The sequence below is a fragment of the Homo sapiens genome, chromosome 6, assembly GCF_000001405.40.
Source record: "Homo sapiens chromosome 6, GRCh38.p14 Primary Assembly".
Taxonomy (NCBI): domain Eukaryota; kingdom Metazoa; phylum Chordata; class Mammalia; order Primates; family Hominidae; genus Homo; species Homo sapiens.
The window spans coordinates 154,706,017-154,723,438 of NC_000006.12; the positions used below are offsets into that span (position 1 = coordinate 154,706,017).

At 43.3% G+C, this 17,422-nt stretch overlaps 1 pseudogene, besides 2 other annotated features; it reads left to right on the forward strand.

Annotated features, from left to right (window-relative positions):
- On the forward strand, positions 463-4,029 carry LOC646274 (stathmin 2 pseudogene; annotated as a pseudogene).
- Positions 1,185-2,384: an enhancer, noted in NCBI's record as "MED14-independent group 3 enhancer chr6:155028335-155029534 (GRCh37/hg19 assembly coordinates)". NCBI's record gives its function as "activates an origin of replication core promoter dependent on BRD2, BRD4, P300/CBP and CDK7 cofactors, and independent of MED14, by STARR-seq in HCT116 cells {active_cell/tissue: HCT116}" and the evidence as "EXISTENCE:reporter gene assay evidence [ECO:0000049][PMID:35650434]".
- Positions 6,243-6,459: a silencer, noted in NCBI's record as "fragment chr6:155033393-155033609 (GRCh37/hg19 assembly coordinates)". NCBI's record gives its function as "represses an EF-1alpha promoter that drives an FKBP-Casp9 reporter gene in an ReSE screen in K562 erythroleukemia cells {active_cell/tissue: K562}" and the evidence as "EXISTENCE:reporter gene assay evidence [ECO:0000049][PMID:32094911]".

Here is a 17,422-nt window from a genome sequence, read left to right on the forward strand (position 1 = left end):
GTTCTTTTAAACATTTTTTTGGGCACGGTGGCTCATGCCTGTAATCCTAGCACTTTGGGAGGCCAAGGTGGGTGGATCACCTGAGGTCAGGAGTTCGAGACCAGCCTGGCCAACATAGTGAAACCCCGTCTCCACTAAAAATACAAAAATTAGTCGGGCGTGATGGTGGGCTCCTGTAATCCCAGCTACTTGGGAGGCTGAGGCAGGAGAATCGTTTGAACCCGGGAGGCAGAGGTTGCAGTGAGCCGAGATTGTACCACTGCACTCCAGCCTGGGTGATAAAATGAGACCCCATCTCAAAAAAAAAAAAAAATACCTATTATATCTGGTAAATTCTTTATTGTATGTATTTACCAGTTAACCAAAAGGAAGACAAAAGGAAAAATGAATAGGAGGTACCCAAATAAAGACAGGATATAGTTGTATAGAAATGTAGTCCAGTAGAATGTGGACATAGCAACGGCTGCTAAAGGCAGATCTGTTGCCTTCACCACCATCTGCACCACCAGCATCTGCACATTCCTACAATGGCTAAAACAGCAATAGGGGAAAGAAAATAAGGACATGACCTGTATGATATAGTGGAATTCTCATTAAACACAGCAGGGGCTTTAACTGGAATTAAGAGTAAGATGAGGTCTAGCCTACAAAGCAAACTAAAGAAGCTGTCCATCTTATCAGTGATCTGCTTTTATTTACATTTTTTTAAGAGACAGAGTCTTGCTCTGTTGCCCAAGCTGGAATGCAGTGGCATGATCATAGCTCACTGCGGCATCTAACTCCTGGGCTCAAATAATCCTTCTGCTTCAGCCTCTTGAGTAGCTAGGATGACAGACGTTTGCCACCATGTCTAGCTAATTTTTTTTAATGTTTTGTAGAGACAGGGTCTCACTATGTGGTCCAGGCTGGTTGCAAACTCTTGGCCTGAAGTGATCCTCCCACCTCAGCCTCTCAATGCGCTAGAATTATAGGTGTGAACCACCAGGTGTGGCCCTGCTCTTGTTTTTACCTGGAATCTTGCAACATCAACATCTATACTTAATTGAAATGAAAGTGAAGCAAATCAGGCTGGGCACAGTGGCTCACGCCTGTAATCCCAGCACTTTGGGAGGCCGAGGTGGGCAGATCACTTGAGGTCAGGAGTTCAAGACTAGCCTGGCTAACATGATGAAACCCCCATCTCTACTAAAAATACAAAAATTAGCCAAGCATGTTGGCACACACCTGTAATTCCAGCTACTCAGAAGGCACAGGCAGGAGCGTCTCTTGAACCCGGGAGGCAGAGGTTGCTGTGAGCCGAGATCGGGCCACTGCACTCCAGCCTGGGTGACAGAGCGAGACTCCATCTAAAAAAAAAAAAAAAAAAAGAAAGAAAGTGAAGCAAATCAACAAATGTGCCTTTGGCCAGGCTTTTAAGCTGATTTTAAGGCCACCACCTCCATTCTGGGAAGCCCGTTGAACTTTAGCTTGTACTAAGGAGAAAGACCTGTCCCTGAAGGAGATCCAGAAGAAACTGGAGGCTGCAGAGGAAAGAAGGAAGTCTGAGGAGGTCCAGGTGCTGAAGCCATTGGCAGAGAGGAGGGAATACAAGCAAGAAGTCTTTGAGAAGGCTTTGGAAAACGACACCTTCAGCAGAATCGTGGAGGAAAAGCTGATCCTGAAAGTGGAAAAAATTAAGGAAAATGAGGAGGCTAATCTAGCTGCTACTATGTCTGAAGGAAAAGGAGGCACGCCGCGGAGGTGCGCAGGAACAAGGACGCGCAGACTCAACAGTCTGGCTGAAGTGGAGGAGGGTACGGCATGCTGCACCATCAGTAAACCCACTGCCCATATTATAATGAGTCACGCAGTATCGGTATGGGAAATGTATGACATAGTTTACAAAGGACTCATTAACAAAGCAGAATTAAAATTAAAAAAAAAAAATGTGGAGCCGGATGCAGTGACTCACACCTGTAATCCCAGCACTTTGCGAGGCCAAGGTAGGCGGATCATTTGAGGTCAGGAGTTCGAGACCAGCCTGGACAACATGGCGAAAACCCGTATCTACTATAAATACAAAAATTAGCCAGTCATAGTGGTGCACACCTGTAATCCTAGCTACCCAGGAGGCTGAAGCACAAGAATCACTTGAACCCAGAAGGCAGAGTATCGGTGAGCAGAGATCATGCCACCGCACTCCAACCTCAGCAACAGAGCAAGACTATCTCAAACAAACAAACAAACAAAAAAAAAAAACAAAAAAACAAGGCCGGGAGCGGTGGCTCACACCTGTAATCCCAGCACTTTGGGAGGCTGAGGCAGGCGAATCATGAGGTCAAGAGATCGAGGCCATCCTGGCCAACATGTGAAACCCCGTCTCTCCTAAAAATACAGAAATTAGCTGGGCATGATGGCACGCACCTGTAGTCCCAGCTACTTGGGAGATTGAGGCAGGAGAATCGCCTGAATTCGGGAGGCAGAGGTTGCAGTGAGCTGAGATCACGCCACTGCATTAAAGCCTGGGTGATAAGAGCAAAACTCTGTTTCAAAAATAATAATAATAAACGCTGGGCATGGTGGCTCACGCCTGTAATCCCAGCACTTTGGGAAGGTGAGGCGGGTGATCACGAGGTCAGGAGATCGAGACCATCCTGGCTAACACGGTGAAACCCCGTCTTTACTAAAAATACAAAAAATATTAGCCAGGCATGGTGGCGGGTGCCTGTAGTCCCAGCTACTTGGGAGGCTGAGGCAGGAGAATGGCGTGAACCCGGGAGGCGGAGCTTGCAGTGAGCAGAGATTGTGCCACTGCCCTCCAGCCTAGGTGATAGAGCAAGACTCCATCTCAAAATAATAATAATAATAATAATAATAATAATAATAATAATAATAAAACCACCAACCATAGCACTTCTGCTTCTACTAGATTATGTGCAACCAGTGTGCTTTGGCTTTAGAAAGGGATGGACAAAAAGACTGATCTAAGATCAGTCTGGGTAGAAGCAAAGAGGTGAACCTTAAAAGTGCTGAACACAAATCCAAATCTTAATGTTTCAAGCATCTGTGAAATTGCTCTTTATCAACTGGGCTGAATTCTCTTGTTTACATTCTTCTGATGGAATGAATTACTTATGGTGTCAGGTAGCTTATTTGTGGATTCCATGATTGATGATGTTCATTTTAAGTTCTTACCAATAGTACAAGTACATGATGCGACTGAATATTTTCCCACTTTGAAACTGTGAGCTGGTTGTTGCATTAAATACACACACAAACAAGATAAAAAACACTGCAGACTTTTACTCAAGCTGGTCTTTCTTCCCCAGTGTGAAGCAGTCCTGCCTTTTAACCCTTTTCCCGTTTAGAGAAAAAAGTGCAGCTCGCTGCCAGTCCTCATTTAATTTTACATAAACATGCTCTTTGAGGTTGGAGCAAATCTAACTGATGTTCAATGTAAAAATAAAATATAAAAACTGTTCTTGGAGTTATTTCTAAGCAGAACTAACATTAGAATTGTCTGAATCATCAGAATCATCTATTTCAGAAAAATCGGATTCACTAAATGAATCTTTGTCCAACAACTGTTCCAGAGATGTGAACCTCACTCCTAGGAATGCTATGTTTTCTAGGATTTGACATTTTCAGTGATGGCCAATTATTATATTTTGTAAATGGAAATACCACTACTAAAAACAGAATGCTATAAATAGAATGATGTCTTTTGTTTCCAAAGAATGATGTGAAAATAATAAAAATGAGGTATTTCCTGGCAAAGTTATCTCAGGATAAATGCTGAAGCAACAAGCACTGCCAGTGAGTATTCTCGGAGCAAACAGGAAAAGTGTTGAAAAAAATTATCTGTGAGGGCTGAGCCGTTAAGGGGCTGGGCAGAATATCATGCCAACTAAGGGAATTACCAGTTACCCACTAAAAGTACCCAACTCCCAACTCCTGAAGGTAGCCACCTGCGTATTTACTCTTAGTGCAATTTTCCTGTATGTTCTTGTGAGCAAGCTGTGATTAATAGAGAATTGAAGTTCTGTGAACAACAACAACAAAAAGAAATAGTATAGCAATGTCTAAAATCAAACCAAAGAAAATCACATGAAGAGAACTGGAAATGAACAGGGGAATGAGAAGGAATGGTGAAACCAGAGAAGAACAGTAGTCCCCTGTTATTCACAGGGGATACTTTCCAAGACCCCCAGTGGATGCCTCAAACCTCAGATAGCACCTATATATGCTACATTTTCTCCCTATACATACATACCTATGATAAATTATAATTTATAGGCCAGACGCGGTGGCTCACACCTATAATCCCAACACTTTGGGAGGCCGAGGCAGGTGGATCACCTGAGGTCAGGAGTTCAAGACCAGTCTGACCAACATGGAGAAACCCCATCTCTACTAAAAATACAAAAAACTAGCCAGGCATGGTGGTGCATGCCTGTAACCCCAGCTACTCGGGAGGCTGAGGCAGGAGAATTGCTTGAACCCGGGAGGCAGAGGTGGCAGTGAGCCAAGATTGCACCATTGCACTCCTAGCCTGGGCAACAAGAGAGAAACTTCATCTCAAAAAACAAAATAAACAAAACAAAACAAAACAAAACAAAAGGTTTCCTTGAACACAAGCACTGCAATACCTTGACAGCCAATCTGTTAACCGAGACAGCTACTTAAGTTGACTGAAAGGCAGGTAGCCTATACAGTGTGGATAGCTGGACAAACGGATGATCACTGTGGTGGGTGTGGCAGGGCAGAGTTGGAGGGCATGAGATTTCATTATACTACAACACAGTAACGCACAATTTAAAACTTGTGAATTATTTCTGGAATTTTCCATTTAGTATTTTCTGACTCCAGTTGATGGCAGGTAAGTGAAACTGCAGATAAAGGGGAGACTACTGTAGTCAGAAGTGGCAATGGTTGTGGTCTCCATGAGATGGTCCTCTTGGTTCCCAGCCCCATCCTCCTTCCCTGTACCTGCTTGTGTGCCTGTTGATTTTGTGTATTGTAAGGATTGAGGCACATTTTTTTCCTTATATGGAGAGCTGTTTTTTCTATTTCCATTTACTGAAGACTATCCTTTCCCCATTGAATTACCTTATTACCTTTGTAGAAAATAAATTAACTACACATGTATGGCTATATCTATATTTATGGGATATATTTCTGGCTGTATCTGTTTCTGGATTTTCCAATCTCCTACATTGATATATAGGTTTGTTCATGCTGTAATACCACATTGTCCTGATGCTTTACCTTTATAATAATCTGTTAGATCAGGTAGTAAAATCCTCTGAATTTTGTTTAAAATTGTTTTAGATATTCTAAATCCTTTTCATTTTCATATAAACTTTGGAATCAGCCAATCAATTACTAGGGGAAAGGAACTGCTTTTTTTAAAGATTGCATTGAAACTTTAAGTCATTTTGGAAAAAACTGACATCTTAACAATACTGATTCTTCATTCTATGAATGTGATTATTATTTTGATTATAATTCAAAACTACCAGGCATAGTGGCTCATGCCTGTAATCCCAGCACTTTGGGAGGCCAAGGAGGGAGGATTGCTTGAGCTCAAGAGTTTGAGAACAGCCTAGGCCACATAGTGAAACCCCGTCTCAACAAAACATCAAAAAATTAGCTGGGCATGGTGATGTGTGCCTGTAGTTCCAGCTACTCAGGAGGCTAAGATGGGAGGATCGCTTGAGCCCAGGAGGTCAAGGCTGCAGTGAGCCAAGATTGTGCCACTGCACTCCAGCCTGGGCAACAGAGTGAGACCCTGTCTCAAAACAAAAACAAAAACAAAAACCACTTTTATTTCTTACATTGTTTCTGCTTTGGCCACTGGGAGCACTTTCAGTTGGCGCCTGTGTTGCTTTGACGTACCCTTCATTGCGTGCTGATATGTGTGTTTAGCACCTCGTTGTTTTTCTGGCACTACAAGATGTTCCAGGTTCATCTTATATATTCTGTGTCCCAGTCCTAGAATCGGTCATTTCTCCAAGGAAACCTGGTTTCTTTCACTGGACGGTAGTTTTAGAAACCAAGATCTGGGCATTAGGTGTGCTTATTGAGTATACTGGGGTATCTTTGCTTCTAGGTCATCTTAAGGAAATAGACCCTTGGAAGGAAATATACATATTACTGTATTCCTTCACTTGCTTATGTGTAAACTCCCGCTCCACCAGTGAGAAACCTGGCTACCCTCATCCTCCATTTACTTAATTTTCCAAAGTAATTGAATTTTTGAAGTAATTTGGATATTTTATTCCTTAGCTCTAGAAGTTTCATTTTATTCTTTTGTGTGTGTGTGTGTGTGTGTGTGTGTGTGTGTGTGACAAGAGTCTCACTGTCACCCAGGCTGGAGTGCAGTAGTGCAATCATAGCTCACTGTAGCCTTGACCTTCTGGGCTCAAGTGATCTTCCCTTCTCAGCCTCCTGGGTAGCTGGGACTACAGGTGTGTGCCACCACGCCCAGCAAATATTTTTACTTTTTGTGGAGATGGGGTCTCATTGTGTTGCTCAGGCTGGTCTCAAACTCCTGGGCTCAAGTGATCCTCCCACCTCGGCCTCCCAAAGTGTTGGGATTACAAGCATGAGCCACTGCACCCAGCTCTTGCTCTTTTTTATAGTTTCCATTCATTCCTCTTCATTATTTTCAGGTTTTTCTTTAAATCCATGTATGTATTTAGAATAGCTGTTATAATTATGCCTGTCATTTCTGGGCTTGTTTCTTTCTTTCTTTCTTTCTTTTTTTTTTTTTGAGACAGGATCTTGTTATGTTGCCCAGGCTTGGGCTTGTTTCTGTTGATTTATATTTCTCCCACTTCGTGTCACTGTGAAGTGAAGGGCTGACTTACTTAAGTTTTGGGTGTTCAAACCTTACGCATTCTGGCTGGGCATGATGTCTCACGCCTGTAACCCCAGCACTTCGGGAGGCCGACGTGGGCAGATCACTTGAGGTCAGGAGTTCGAGACCAGCCTGGCTAACATGGTGAAACCTCATCTCTACTAAAAGTACAAAAATTAGCTGGGCATGTTGGCGGGTGCCTGTAATCCTAGCTACTCGGGATGCTGAGGCAGGAGATTTGCTTGAACCCAGGAGGTGCAGGTTGCAGTGAGCTGAGATTACACCACTGCACTCCAGCCTGGGCAACAGAGCAAGACTCCAACTCAAAAACAAACAAACAAAAAAACCTTGCACATTCCAAAGAAAGTTCTGGCCCTTGATGGGATCCTGGAGGATGACTTCTAAGCCCTTGAAATATGCAAAGCCCTTTACCTAGGGCTTTGGGGCAACCCAGGCATTGTTAGCATTGTTAATAATATAATTTATAGTGGGTGCCTTAGGCCAGGCTTTTAAAGTCTGACCTTTGGAGGGGCTAGAGCAAGAATAACTAAGGTCAGCTATTGGACACTCCATGCCTACATGACCACCCCTACCTCCCTCAAAAAACCTTGGATATTAAGACTCAAGTAAGCTTGCATGGCTAGCAATATTTTGTGCTTCTTGTGATATATTGTTGCTGGGAGAATTTAGTGTTGTCCACATGGCCCCAGTGGGAATGGACAACTGGAAGCTCATTCCTGGACTTTCCTCCATGTACCTTTTGCCTTTGCTGATTTGACATCTATTTTTCCCATAACAAATAATAACTGTGAGCATGGTGGCTTTTCTGAATTCTGTGAGTCTTTCTGGCTAATAATTAAACCCAAGAGTGGTTTGAGGGGACCTCCGATATTCACCTACTCTTAATTTTTTATATTTGGTGATTATATATTGAATGCTAGTTATTTTGAAAGTTACTTTGATAAGTGTCTGGATTTCTGTATTTTTTTTTTAAAAGAATGTTGAATTATGTTTTGGCAGGCAGTTGAGTCACTTGCTTTGTTAGGGTAGGTCTAGTTGTTCAAGGGCTAAATGTAACCTCAAGTATTCAACAAGATTTCTCTGTTGTGGCTAATCACAACTCTCAAACATCTTTTGGCTCTGGGAACTGTTCAGCTTTCAGCAGCCGTTAACTAGTTTTCTTTGCCTGACCTTGTGGTGTTCCATGCTATGCATGTGCTGCTTTATATTCAGCCAGAAACTCAAGGTGGCCTCTGTGCAGATTTCCAGAGCCCTTTCTCTGCATAACTAACTCCTCTCTACTACTCTGCTCTGCAAATTCCGGCCACCTCAACCTTTCCAAAATCTGATCTGTCTCCTTAATTCAGCAAGACTTCTATGCTTTGTTTGGGTTCCCCCTTCCTATAATGTGATTCAGAAAGAGCTACTAGGCAGAAAGCAGAAGTATTGTTGTGATAACATCTTTGTTTTCCTGCTCTATTCTTCAATGTCCAATTGTCCAATATCTAGTTGTTCCATATAGTGTGTGTACATTTTCTGGTTATTTATACAAGAGGGTGCTGTGGTTTGAATGTGTCCTCCAAATTTCATGCGTTGGAAACTTAATCCTCAAATCCATACGTTGATTGAAGGTGGTATCTTCAGAAAGTAATGAGGATTAGGTAAGGTCATCAGGGTGAGGGCCCCATGATGCAACTGATGGCTTTATAAGAAGAGGAAGCAATGGCCAGCCATGGTGGCTCATGCCTGTAATCCCAGCACTTTGGGAGGCCAAGGCAGGTGGATCACCTGAGGTGAGGAGTTCAAGACCAGCCCAGTCAACATGGTGAAACCCCATCTCTACTAAAAATACAATGTTAGCTGGGTGTGGTGGCGCATGCCTGTAGTCCCAGCTACTCAGGAGGCTGAGACAGGAGAATCGCTTGAACCTGGGAGGCGGAGGTTGCAGTAAGCAGAGATTGCGCCACTGTACTCCAGCCTGGGTGACAGAGTGAGACTCCATTTCAAAAATATATAAAATAAAATAAAAATAAAGAGGAAGCAAGACTTGAGCTTATATACACACTCTTGCTCTCTCCCCATATGATGCTCTCTGCCATGTTCTGACACAGCAAATAGGCCCTCACCAGATGCCAGTGCCATGTTCTTGGACTTCCCAACATCTAGAACCATGAGCCAAATAAACTTCTTTTCTTTATAAATTACCTAGTCTATGGTCTGTTGTAGCAACAGAAAACGGATTAAGACAGAGGGCAAATATAGTTCCAGGTATTCTGTCATGGCAGGAAGTATAACACCCTCTACTGTTTTAGTTGCTATTTCACATGGTATTTTCCAAAATTAATTACATTTTCAAATATAACTTCCATATGTGGTCATATGGAAATGTAATTGTCTTGAACTCTTATTAATTCTATAATTTATCTGTAGACATTTTATAAGTTTTCTATATAGACATTTGTGTCAAAAATAATATTTTTTCTTTTTTGCTTTGGAATTTTAATTTTTTTCTTGCTGTATTGGCTTGGGTTTCCACAATAATGTAGAATAGAAGTGGTAATAGTGGATATTCTTTCTTATTCCTGCTTTTTAAAGGAATGTTTTAAGCATTAATATCACACATGATGTTTGCTATAGCTCTTTTTTAGATCCCAATGAAATAGATTAAATAAGTTGTCTTTTAAAATTAGTTCATGGGTTATTTTTGCGGTAAACTGAAAAAAAATCCCCCTCCTTCCAGTTATGTTTACTTCCTTTTTTCTTTTTTCTAATTTTTTTTTTCTTTTCCTCTGTCACCCAAGCTGGAGTACAGTGATGGTATCACAGCTTATAGCAGCCTTGATACCTGGGGTCAAGTGATTCTCTCACTTCAGCCTCCCAAGTAGCTGGGACCAAAGGCATGCACCACCATATCCAGATAATTTTTTTTGCTTTTTTTTTTTTTTTTTGAGACAGGGTCTTGCTCTGTCACCTAGGCTGGAGTGCAGTGATGCAATCTTGGCTCACTGCAACTTCTGCCTCCCGGGTTCAAGGAATTCCCCTGCCTCAGCCTCCTGAGTAGCTGGGATTACAGGCAAATGACACCATACCCAGCTAATTTTTGTATTTTTAGTAGAGATGGGGTTTCACCATGTTGGCCAGGCTGGTCTCGAACTCCTGACCTCAAGTGATCCACCTGCCTTGGCCTCCCAAAGTGTTGAAATTACAGGTGTGAGCCACCACACCTGGCTTTTTTTGCATTTTGTGTAGAGATGGGGTTTCACCATGGTGCCTAGGATGGTCTCAAACTCCTGGGCTCAAATGATATTCCTGCCTCTGCCTCCCAAGTGCTAGGACTATAGGCATGAGCCACCACGCCCAGCCCAATATTTACTTTCTAATCTCTAGAACCTGTGAATATTATCTTACACGGCAAATAGAGCAAAATTACGTGTCTTAGTTATTTTGTGTTGCTATAAAAAATACCTGAGGTTCCTGGTAGGAAAAAAAAAAAATAATATTTAAAAAAATACCTGAGGCTGGGAAATTTATAAAGAAAATAGGTTTATTTGGTTTGCTGTTCTGCAGGCTGTACAAGAAGTGTGGTGCTGACATCTGCTCCTCGGCTTCTGGTGTGGCCTTCGGCTGCTTCCATTCATGGCAGAAGGCACAGGGAAGCCTCATGTGCAGAGATCACATGGTGAGAGAGGAAGCAAGAGAGCAAGTTGGAGCCGGGCGTGGTGGTTCATGCCTGTAATCCCAGCACTTTGGGAGGACGAGGTGGGTGGATCACCTGAGGTCAGGAGTTTGAGACCAGCCTGGCCAACGTGGCGAAATCCTGTCTCTACTAAAAATACAAAAAATTTAGCCAGGTGTGGTGACGGGTGCCTGTAATCCCAGCTGCTGGGAAGGCTGAGGCAAGAAAATCGCTTGGACACGGGAGTCAGAGGTTGCAGTGAGCCAAGATTGTGCCACTGCACCCCAGCCTGGGCCACAGGGTGAGACTCTGTCTCAATTAAAAAAAAAAAAAAAAAAAAAAAAACAGAGCAAGGCGGGAGGTGCCAGGCTCTTTTTAACAACCAGCTCCTATGGGAACTAGTAGAGCAAGAACTCACTCACTTCCTCCCCTCCCCTTCAGGGAGGACATTAACCTATTCATGAAGGATCTGTCCCCATGACCAAACACCTCCCACTAGGCCCCACCTCCAACATTAAGGATCAAATTTCAACATGAGGTTTGGAAAGTCACATGTTCAAACTACAGCATTGTTGGCCAGATGCAGTGGCTCAAGCCTGTAATCCTACCATTTTGGGAGGCTGAGGCAGGCAGATCATCTGAGGTCAGGAGTTCAAGACCAGCCTGGCCAACAAGGTGAAACCCTGTCTCTACTAAAAATACAAAAATTAGCCAGGTGTGGTGCCATGTGCCTGTAATCCCAGCTACTGGGGAGGCTGAGGCAGGAGAATCACCTGAACCCAGGAGGCAGAGGTTGCAGTGAGCCGAGATCATGCCACTGCACTCCAGCCTGGGTGACAGAGCGAGACTCTGTCTCAAAAACAAAACAAAACAAAAATCCTATAATATTGCTTTATGTAGTAAAAGATATGACTAAGTTAAGGGTTTTCAGAGGAAGAGTTTATCCTGGATTATTTGGGTGGGCCCTAAATATGGTCACACAAATTCTTTTCTTTTTTTTTTTTTTTGAGATGGAGTGTCACTCTATTGCCCAGGCTGGAGTGCAGTGGCGTGATCTCGGCTCACCAAAACCTCAGTTTCCTGGTTTCAAGCATGTCTCGTGCCTTAGCCTCCTGAGTAGCTGGAATTCCAGGTATGCACCACCAAGCCCAGTTAATTTTTGTATTTTTAGTAGAGGCAGGGTTTCACCATGTTGGCCAGGCTGGTCTCAAACTCCTGGCCTCAAGTGATGCACCTGCCTCGGCCTCCCAAAGTGCTGAAATTACAGATGTGAGCCCAGCCACAAATTCTTTTAAAAGAGAGGCAGAGCAAGATTTTACACAGACAGACACAGAGGAGAAGGCCACGTGAAGACAGAGTCAGAGATTGGAGTGATGTGGCCACAAGCCAAGGAATGCTCCAGAAGCTGAGAAAGGCAAGGAACAGATTCTCCCATAGAGCTTCTGAAGGGAGGCTGACCCTGCCAACACCTTGATTTTGGACTTCTAGCCTTCAGAACTTTGAGAAAATAAATTCTGTTTAATTGCCAAATTTATAGTAATTTGTTATAGCAGCCACTGACAACTAATATTTTGATTTAATAAATGATGCTTAATCACATCTGATATGGTTTGGCTCTGTATCTCCACCCAAATATCACCTTAAATTGTAGTTCCCATAATCTCCATGTGTCATGGGAGGGACAGAGCAGGAGGTAATTTAATCACGGGGGTGGTTGCCCTCATGCTGTTCTCTTCATAGTGAGTGAGTTCTGCCAAGATCTGACAGTTTTATCGGGGCTTTTCCCTCTTTTGCTCAGCAATTCTCCTTCCTGCCGCCATGTGAAGAAGGACATGTTTGCTTCTCCTTCCACCATGATTGTAAGTTTCCTGAGGCCTCCCCAGCCCTGCAGAACTGTAAGTCAATTAAACCTCTTCTTCTATAAATTACCCAGTCTTGGGTACGTCTTTATTAGCAGTGTGAGAACAGACTAATACAACATCAGATGCATTTTTTGCATCTACTGATATAATTTTTCTCTTTTAATTTCTTAATGTGAATTATATCAATGGATTTTTCTAATGTCAAAGCAATTCTACATTCCTACATGAAGTCCAACTGGCTCATGATCTATATCTGTATGTATGTATGTTTCATCTGTCTTTTCTGCTGATTCTCATTCATGGTATATGACTTCCTCATCAGCTTAATTATTTTTACTATGTAATATGTAATACTCATTTTGGTAGGCAGAATAATGCCCTCCCCACAAGATGTCCACATCCTAATCTGCATGAATGGCAAAAGAGAATTTACAGATGTAATTAAACTCAGGGTCTTGAGTTGCAGAGATTATCCTGGATTACCTGTGTGAACCCAATGTAATCACATAAATAAGTCCTTATAAATGAAAGAGGGAGGCAGGAGATGTGAGAGAAAGAAGTGTGACTAGGGAAGTTATGGCAGAGAGACTTGATGTGAGAAGGACTTGAGCCATCCTTACTGGCTTTAAAGATTCATTAAGGTACCACTAGCCAAGGAATGCAAGAAGCTCTTAGAAACTGGAAAAGGGCAAGGTAGTGGATTCTGCCCTAGAAGCTCCTGTCAGAAGAAAAGCATCCCTGATGACATCTGGATTTTAGTCCAATGAGACGAGTATGGACTCCTGACTTCAAGAGCTGTAAGATAATAGGCCAGGCACAGCAGCTCATGCCTGTAATTCCAGTACTTTGGGAGGCCGAGGCAGGTGGATCACCTTAGATCAGGAGTTTGAGACCAGCCTGGCCAACATGGTGAAACCCTGTCTCCACTAAAAATACAAAAAAAAATTAGCTGGGCGTGGTGACGGGCGCCTGTAATCCCAGCTAATCAGGAGGCTGAGGCAGGAGAATCACTTGAACCTGGGAAGCAGAGGTTGCAGTGAGCCGAGATCACGCCTTTGCAGTCCTTCAGCCTGGGTGACAAGAGTGAAACTCTGTTTCAAAAAAAAAAAAAAAAAAAAGAGCTGTAAGATAATAAATGTGTGTTATTTTAAGTCACCAAGTTTATGGTAAGTTGTTACAGCAACAATGGAAAATTAACACACTCATTATCCTTGAGAATTTATTTGCAGGATTTCCTTATAGCTTTAGATGAAGGAGCAGTCCTGCAGAGAGGTCTTGCATTGACTTATCCTAGGTGCCTAAGGGCACTATTCTGAGAACACTTTAAACTACATTTAGGGCTTAAGGTAATGCACTTTTGTTTTTTTTTTTTTGAGAGGGTCTCGCTCTGCACCCAAGCTGAGTGTGGTGGTGCAATCTCAGCTTACTGCCGCCTCTACCCGCTGGTCTCTTCCACCTCAGCCTCCCCAGCAGCTGGGACCACAGATGGGGACCACCAAGCCTGGCTATTTTTTGTATTTTTTATGGAGATGAGGTCCCCCTATGTTGCCCAGGCTAATCTTGAACTCTGGGGCTCAAGTGATTCTCCTGTTTGGCCTCCCAAAGTACTGGGATTACATGCATGAGCCACCACACCTGGCCAGGTAATATACTTTTGAGCTGCAAATCCATGCAGAGGCTAGGCTGTGTTATACTTCTCAGCACTGTCCCGTCTTTGCTCTCTTTAGACAAACAAATTTTTCTCAGAGTCCCCTAGGGTAGAGAAAGGAATGAATTTACTTCTGTTTTGCCCTAATCCTGGGCTGTAGCCCTTTGAGGGGGCCAGCTTGATATGAGGAGACTCCCAAATCAGCCTTCCCAACATGTAGTCCCCCTAGGCTTTGACTCTTGCCCCCTTTACCCCAGGAGACTATCAAAACCCAAAGTTCAAGTTTGTCTAAAATGGAAACTGCTCTCGAGGAACAGTCAGTTTCAGGTTCTACTTGCCTGTCTGAGTTCTTACTTTTAGGATTTGTCCTGCTTTTAGTGATTTCAAAGTTTTTAAGATTTCTTTCCTTCCTTTCTTCCTTCCTCCCTCCCTCCCTCCCTCCCTTCCTTTCTTCCTTCCTCTCTTTTTTTTTTTTTTTTTTTTTTTTTGGAGTTTCATTCTTGCCCAGGCTGGAGTGCAGTTGTGTGATCTCCGCTCACTGCAACATCTGCCTCCTGGGTTCAAGCGATTCTCCTGCCTCAGCCTCCCAAGTAGCTGGGACTACAGGTGTGAACCACCACTCCTGGCTAATTTATATGTTTTTAGTAGAGATGGGTTTTCACCATGTTGCTCAAGCTGGTCACCAACTCCTGACGTCAGGTGATCCCCCCACCTCAGCCTCCCAAAGTACTGGGATTACAGGCGTGAGCCAATCACCTGGCCTTTATTCTTTATTTCTGTTTTTGTTTTAGAGATGAAGTCTTTCTCTGTCACCCATGCTGGAGTACACTGATGTGATCAGAGCTCACAGTACCTTGAACTCCTGGGCTTCAGTGATCCTCCTGCCTGGGACTCCCAGAGCACTGGGATTATGGGTGGGAGCCACCTTGCCTGGCCAGATTTTTTTCCTTTTAGCCAGCATTTGTTGTTTTTTTCAGTAATGGGGCTGGTCTGAATAACCCAGTCCACCATATTCCAGGAAATCTATTGAAAATTTTATATTCTGAATCTGTCAGTTCCACCAGCTGAACATTTTGCTGGTCTGATTCTGCTGTCTGTTGCTTCTGTTGGCTTTTACTCATGATGCTTTGTTTTCCTGTTAAATAGTTAATTGTAATTTTATTTGCTTTCCTTTTTTTTTTTTTTTTTTTTTGAGACGGAGTCTCACTCTGTCGCCCAGGCTGAAGTGCAGTGGCGTGATCCCAGCTCAATGCAACTTCCACCTCCCAGGTTCAAGTGATTCTCTTGCCTCAGCCTCCCAAGTAGCTGGGATTACAGGAGTGCATCACCATGCCCAGTTAATTTTTGTATTTTTATTAGGGACGGGGTTTTGCCACGATGGTCAGGCTGGTCTCGAACTCCTGACCTCAGGTGATCTGCCCACCTTTGCCTCCCAAAGTGCTGGGATTACAGGCGTGAGCTACTGTGCCCCATCTAAAGGTGCTTTCCTCTGAGAGAATTTGCAGATCCTCTGTCAATTGCCTGGAGGCATGGCAACCCAGTACCAAACGACTTTCTTTGCTTGAGGTTTTTCGCGTCACCCAAGAATTATGAATTGGACCACAAACTTGCATGAGGTATGACTTGTGGTTCAGAGGAATTTTTTTCCCCTCTCTCTCCATTAGTTCCGATGTTGAGACAGGCACATTTCTTTGCTGCTCCCCACCCACACCTACAGACGAGCTTTGTGTATTGTCCTCCATAAGTTGGTCATCTCATGTCCTGTATACTTGTCTTTGATGGCTATCAGAATCAAAGCTTGGTGACATCAGGGACTGGTAGATGATCACAGTATTCTGACATTTCAGGTCTTCCTTATTTCTCTGGATTCCTGCTTCCACTTGCTTGGCCTTTGAGGATTCTTTTTCATTTCTATCAAATGAAAGATGAATTTAAAAAGAAAATTTGGCCAGGCATGGTGGTGAACATCTGTAATCCCAGCACTTCCAGAGGTCAAGGTGGGAGGATTGCTTGAGCCTAGGAGTTTGAGGCTGCAGTGAGGTATGATCATGCCACTACATTCTAGCCTGTTTGATAGAGTCAGACCATGTCTCTAACAAGAGAAAATTTAGCCAAGCGCAGTGGCTCACACGTGTAATCTCAGCACTTTGGGAGGCCAAGGAGGGAGAAGTGCTTGAGCCCAGGAGTTTGGGACCAGCTTGAGCAACATAGTGAGACCTTGTCTCTACCAAAAAAAAAAAAAAAAAAAAAATTAGCCAGGTGTAGTGGCACAAACCTGTAGTCCTAGCTACTCAGGAGGCTGAGGCAGGAGGATTGCTTGATCCCAGGAGGTCGAGGCTGCAGTAAGCCATGATCACACCACTGCACTCCAACTGGGTGACAGGGCAAGACCCTGTCTCAAAGCAAAACAAAACTCAGTGAGATGCCCCTTCTCATCCACTAGGATGGACATGAAAGAAAAAAAATAAAACAGCCAAACAAACAAAACAGAAAAAGTACAAAAGAAAGTAAGTATTTTAATTAGTATTGATAGTTATACAACACAAGTATTTAGGAACTCTGGTCTGCCATTCTTCCAGAAATCTATCATTTTAAGGTGTCAACTGTCCCCGGGAGTTAAGAGGGCCATGATTGTAGATCCTAAAGACTATGCAGGGTGTCCTGACCCCAGAGATAAGATTAGGTTCCATTTCACCATCATTTTGTGCTTCAAATGCTAATTCTTTCAATGTCCACACTCGATTCTCTTTTATAACTCTTTGTGATTACTAATCCATTCTTCTCTACAAATCTTTTAAAATAAATCAAAACAAAAATGACAAGGTGGTAAGATGTATGCTTTTTTTTTTTTTTTTTTTTTTTTGAGATGGAGTCTCACTCTTGTCACCCAGGCTGGAATGGAGTGCAGTGCAGTGGCACCATCTCTTCTCACTGCAACCTCCACCTCCCAGGTTCAAGCAGTTCTCCTGCCTCAGCCTCCCAGATAGCTGAGATTCCAGGTGCCCGCCACCACACCTGGCTTATTTTTTGTATTTTTAGTAGAGATGGGGTTTCACTATGTTGGCCAGGCTGGTCTCGAACTCCTGACCTTGTGATCTGCCCACCTTGGCCTCCCAAAGAGCTGGAATTACAGGCGTGAGCCACTGCGCCTGGCCTCAAACCATTTTTTAAATGATGCCTGCCAAGGTCCAAACAATTTAACAAGTACTTATGTCCTAGCAACTTAGTAACCACTTGAAAAAAGTAATACACGTAAATAGAAGAAAATAATTTTTTTTTCTTTCTTTCTTTCTTTTTTTTTTGAGACAGAGTCTCGCTGTGTCACCCAGGCTGGAGTGGAGTGGTGCCATCTCAGCTCACTGCAACCTCCGCCTCCCTGGTTCCAGCGATTCTCC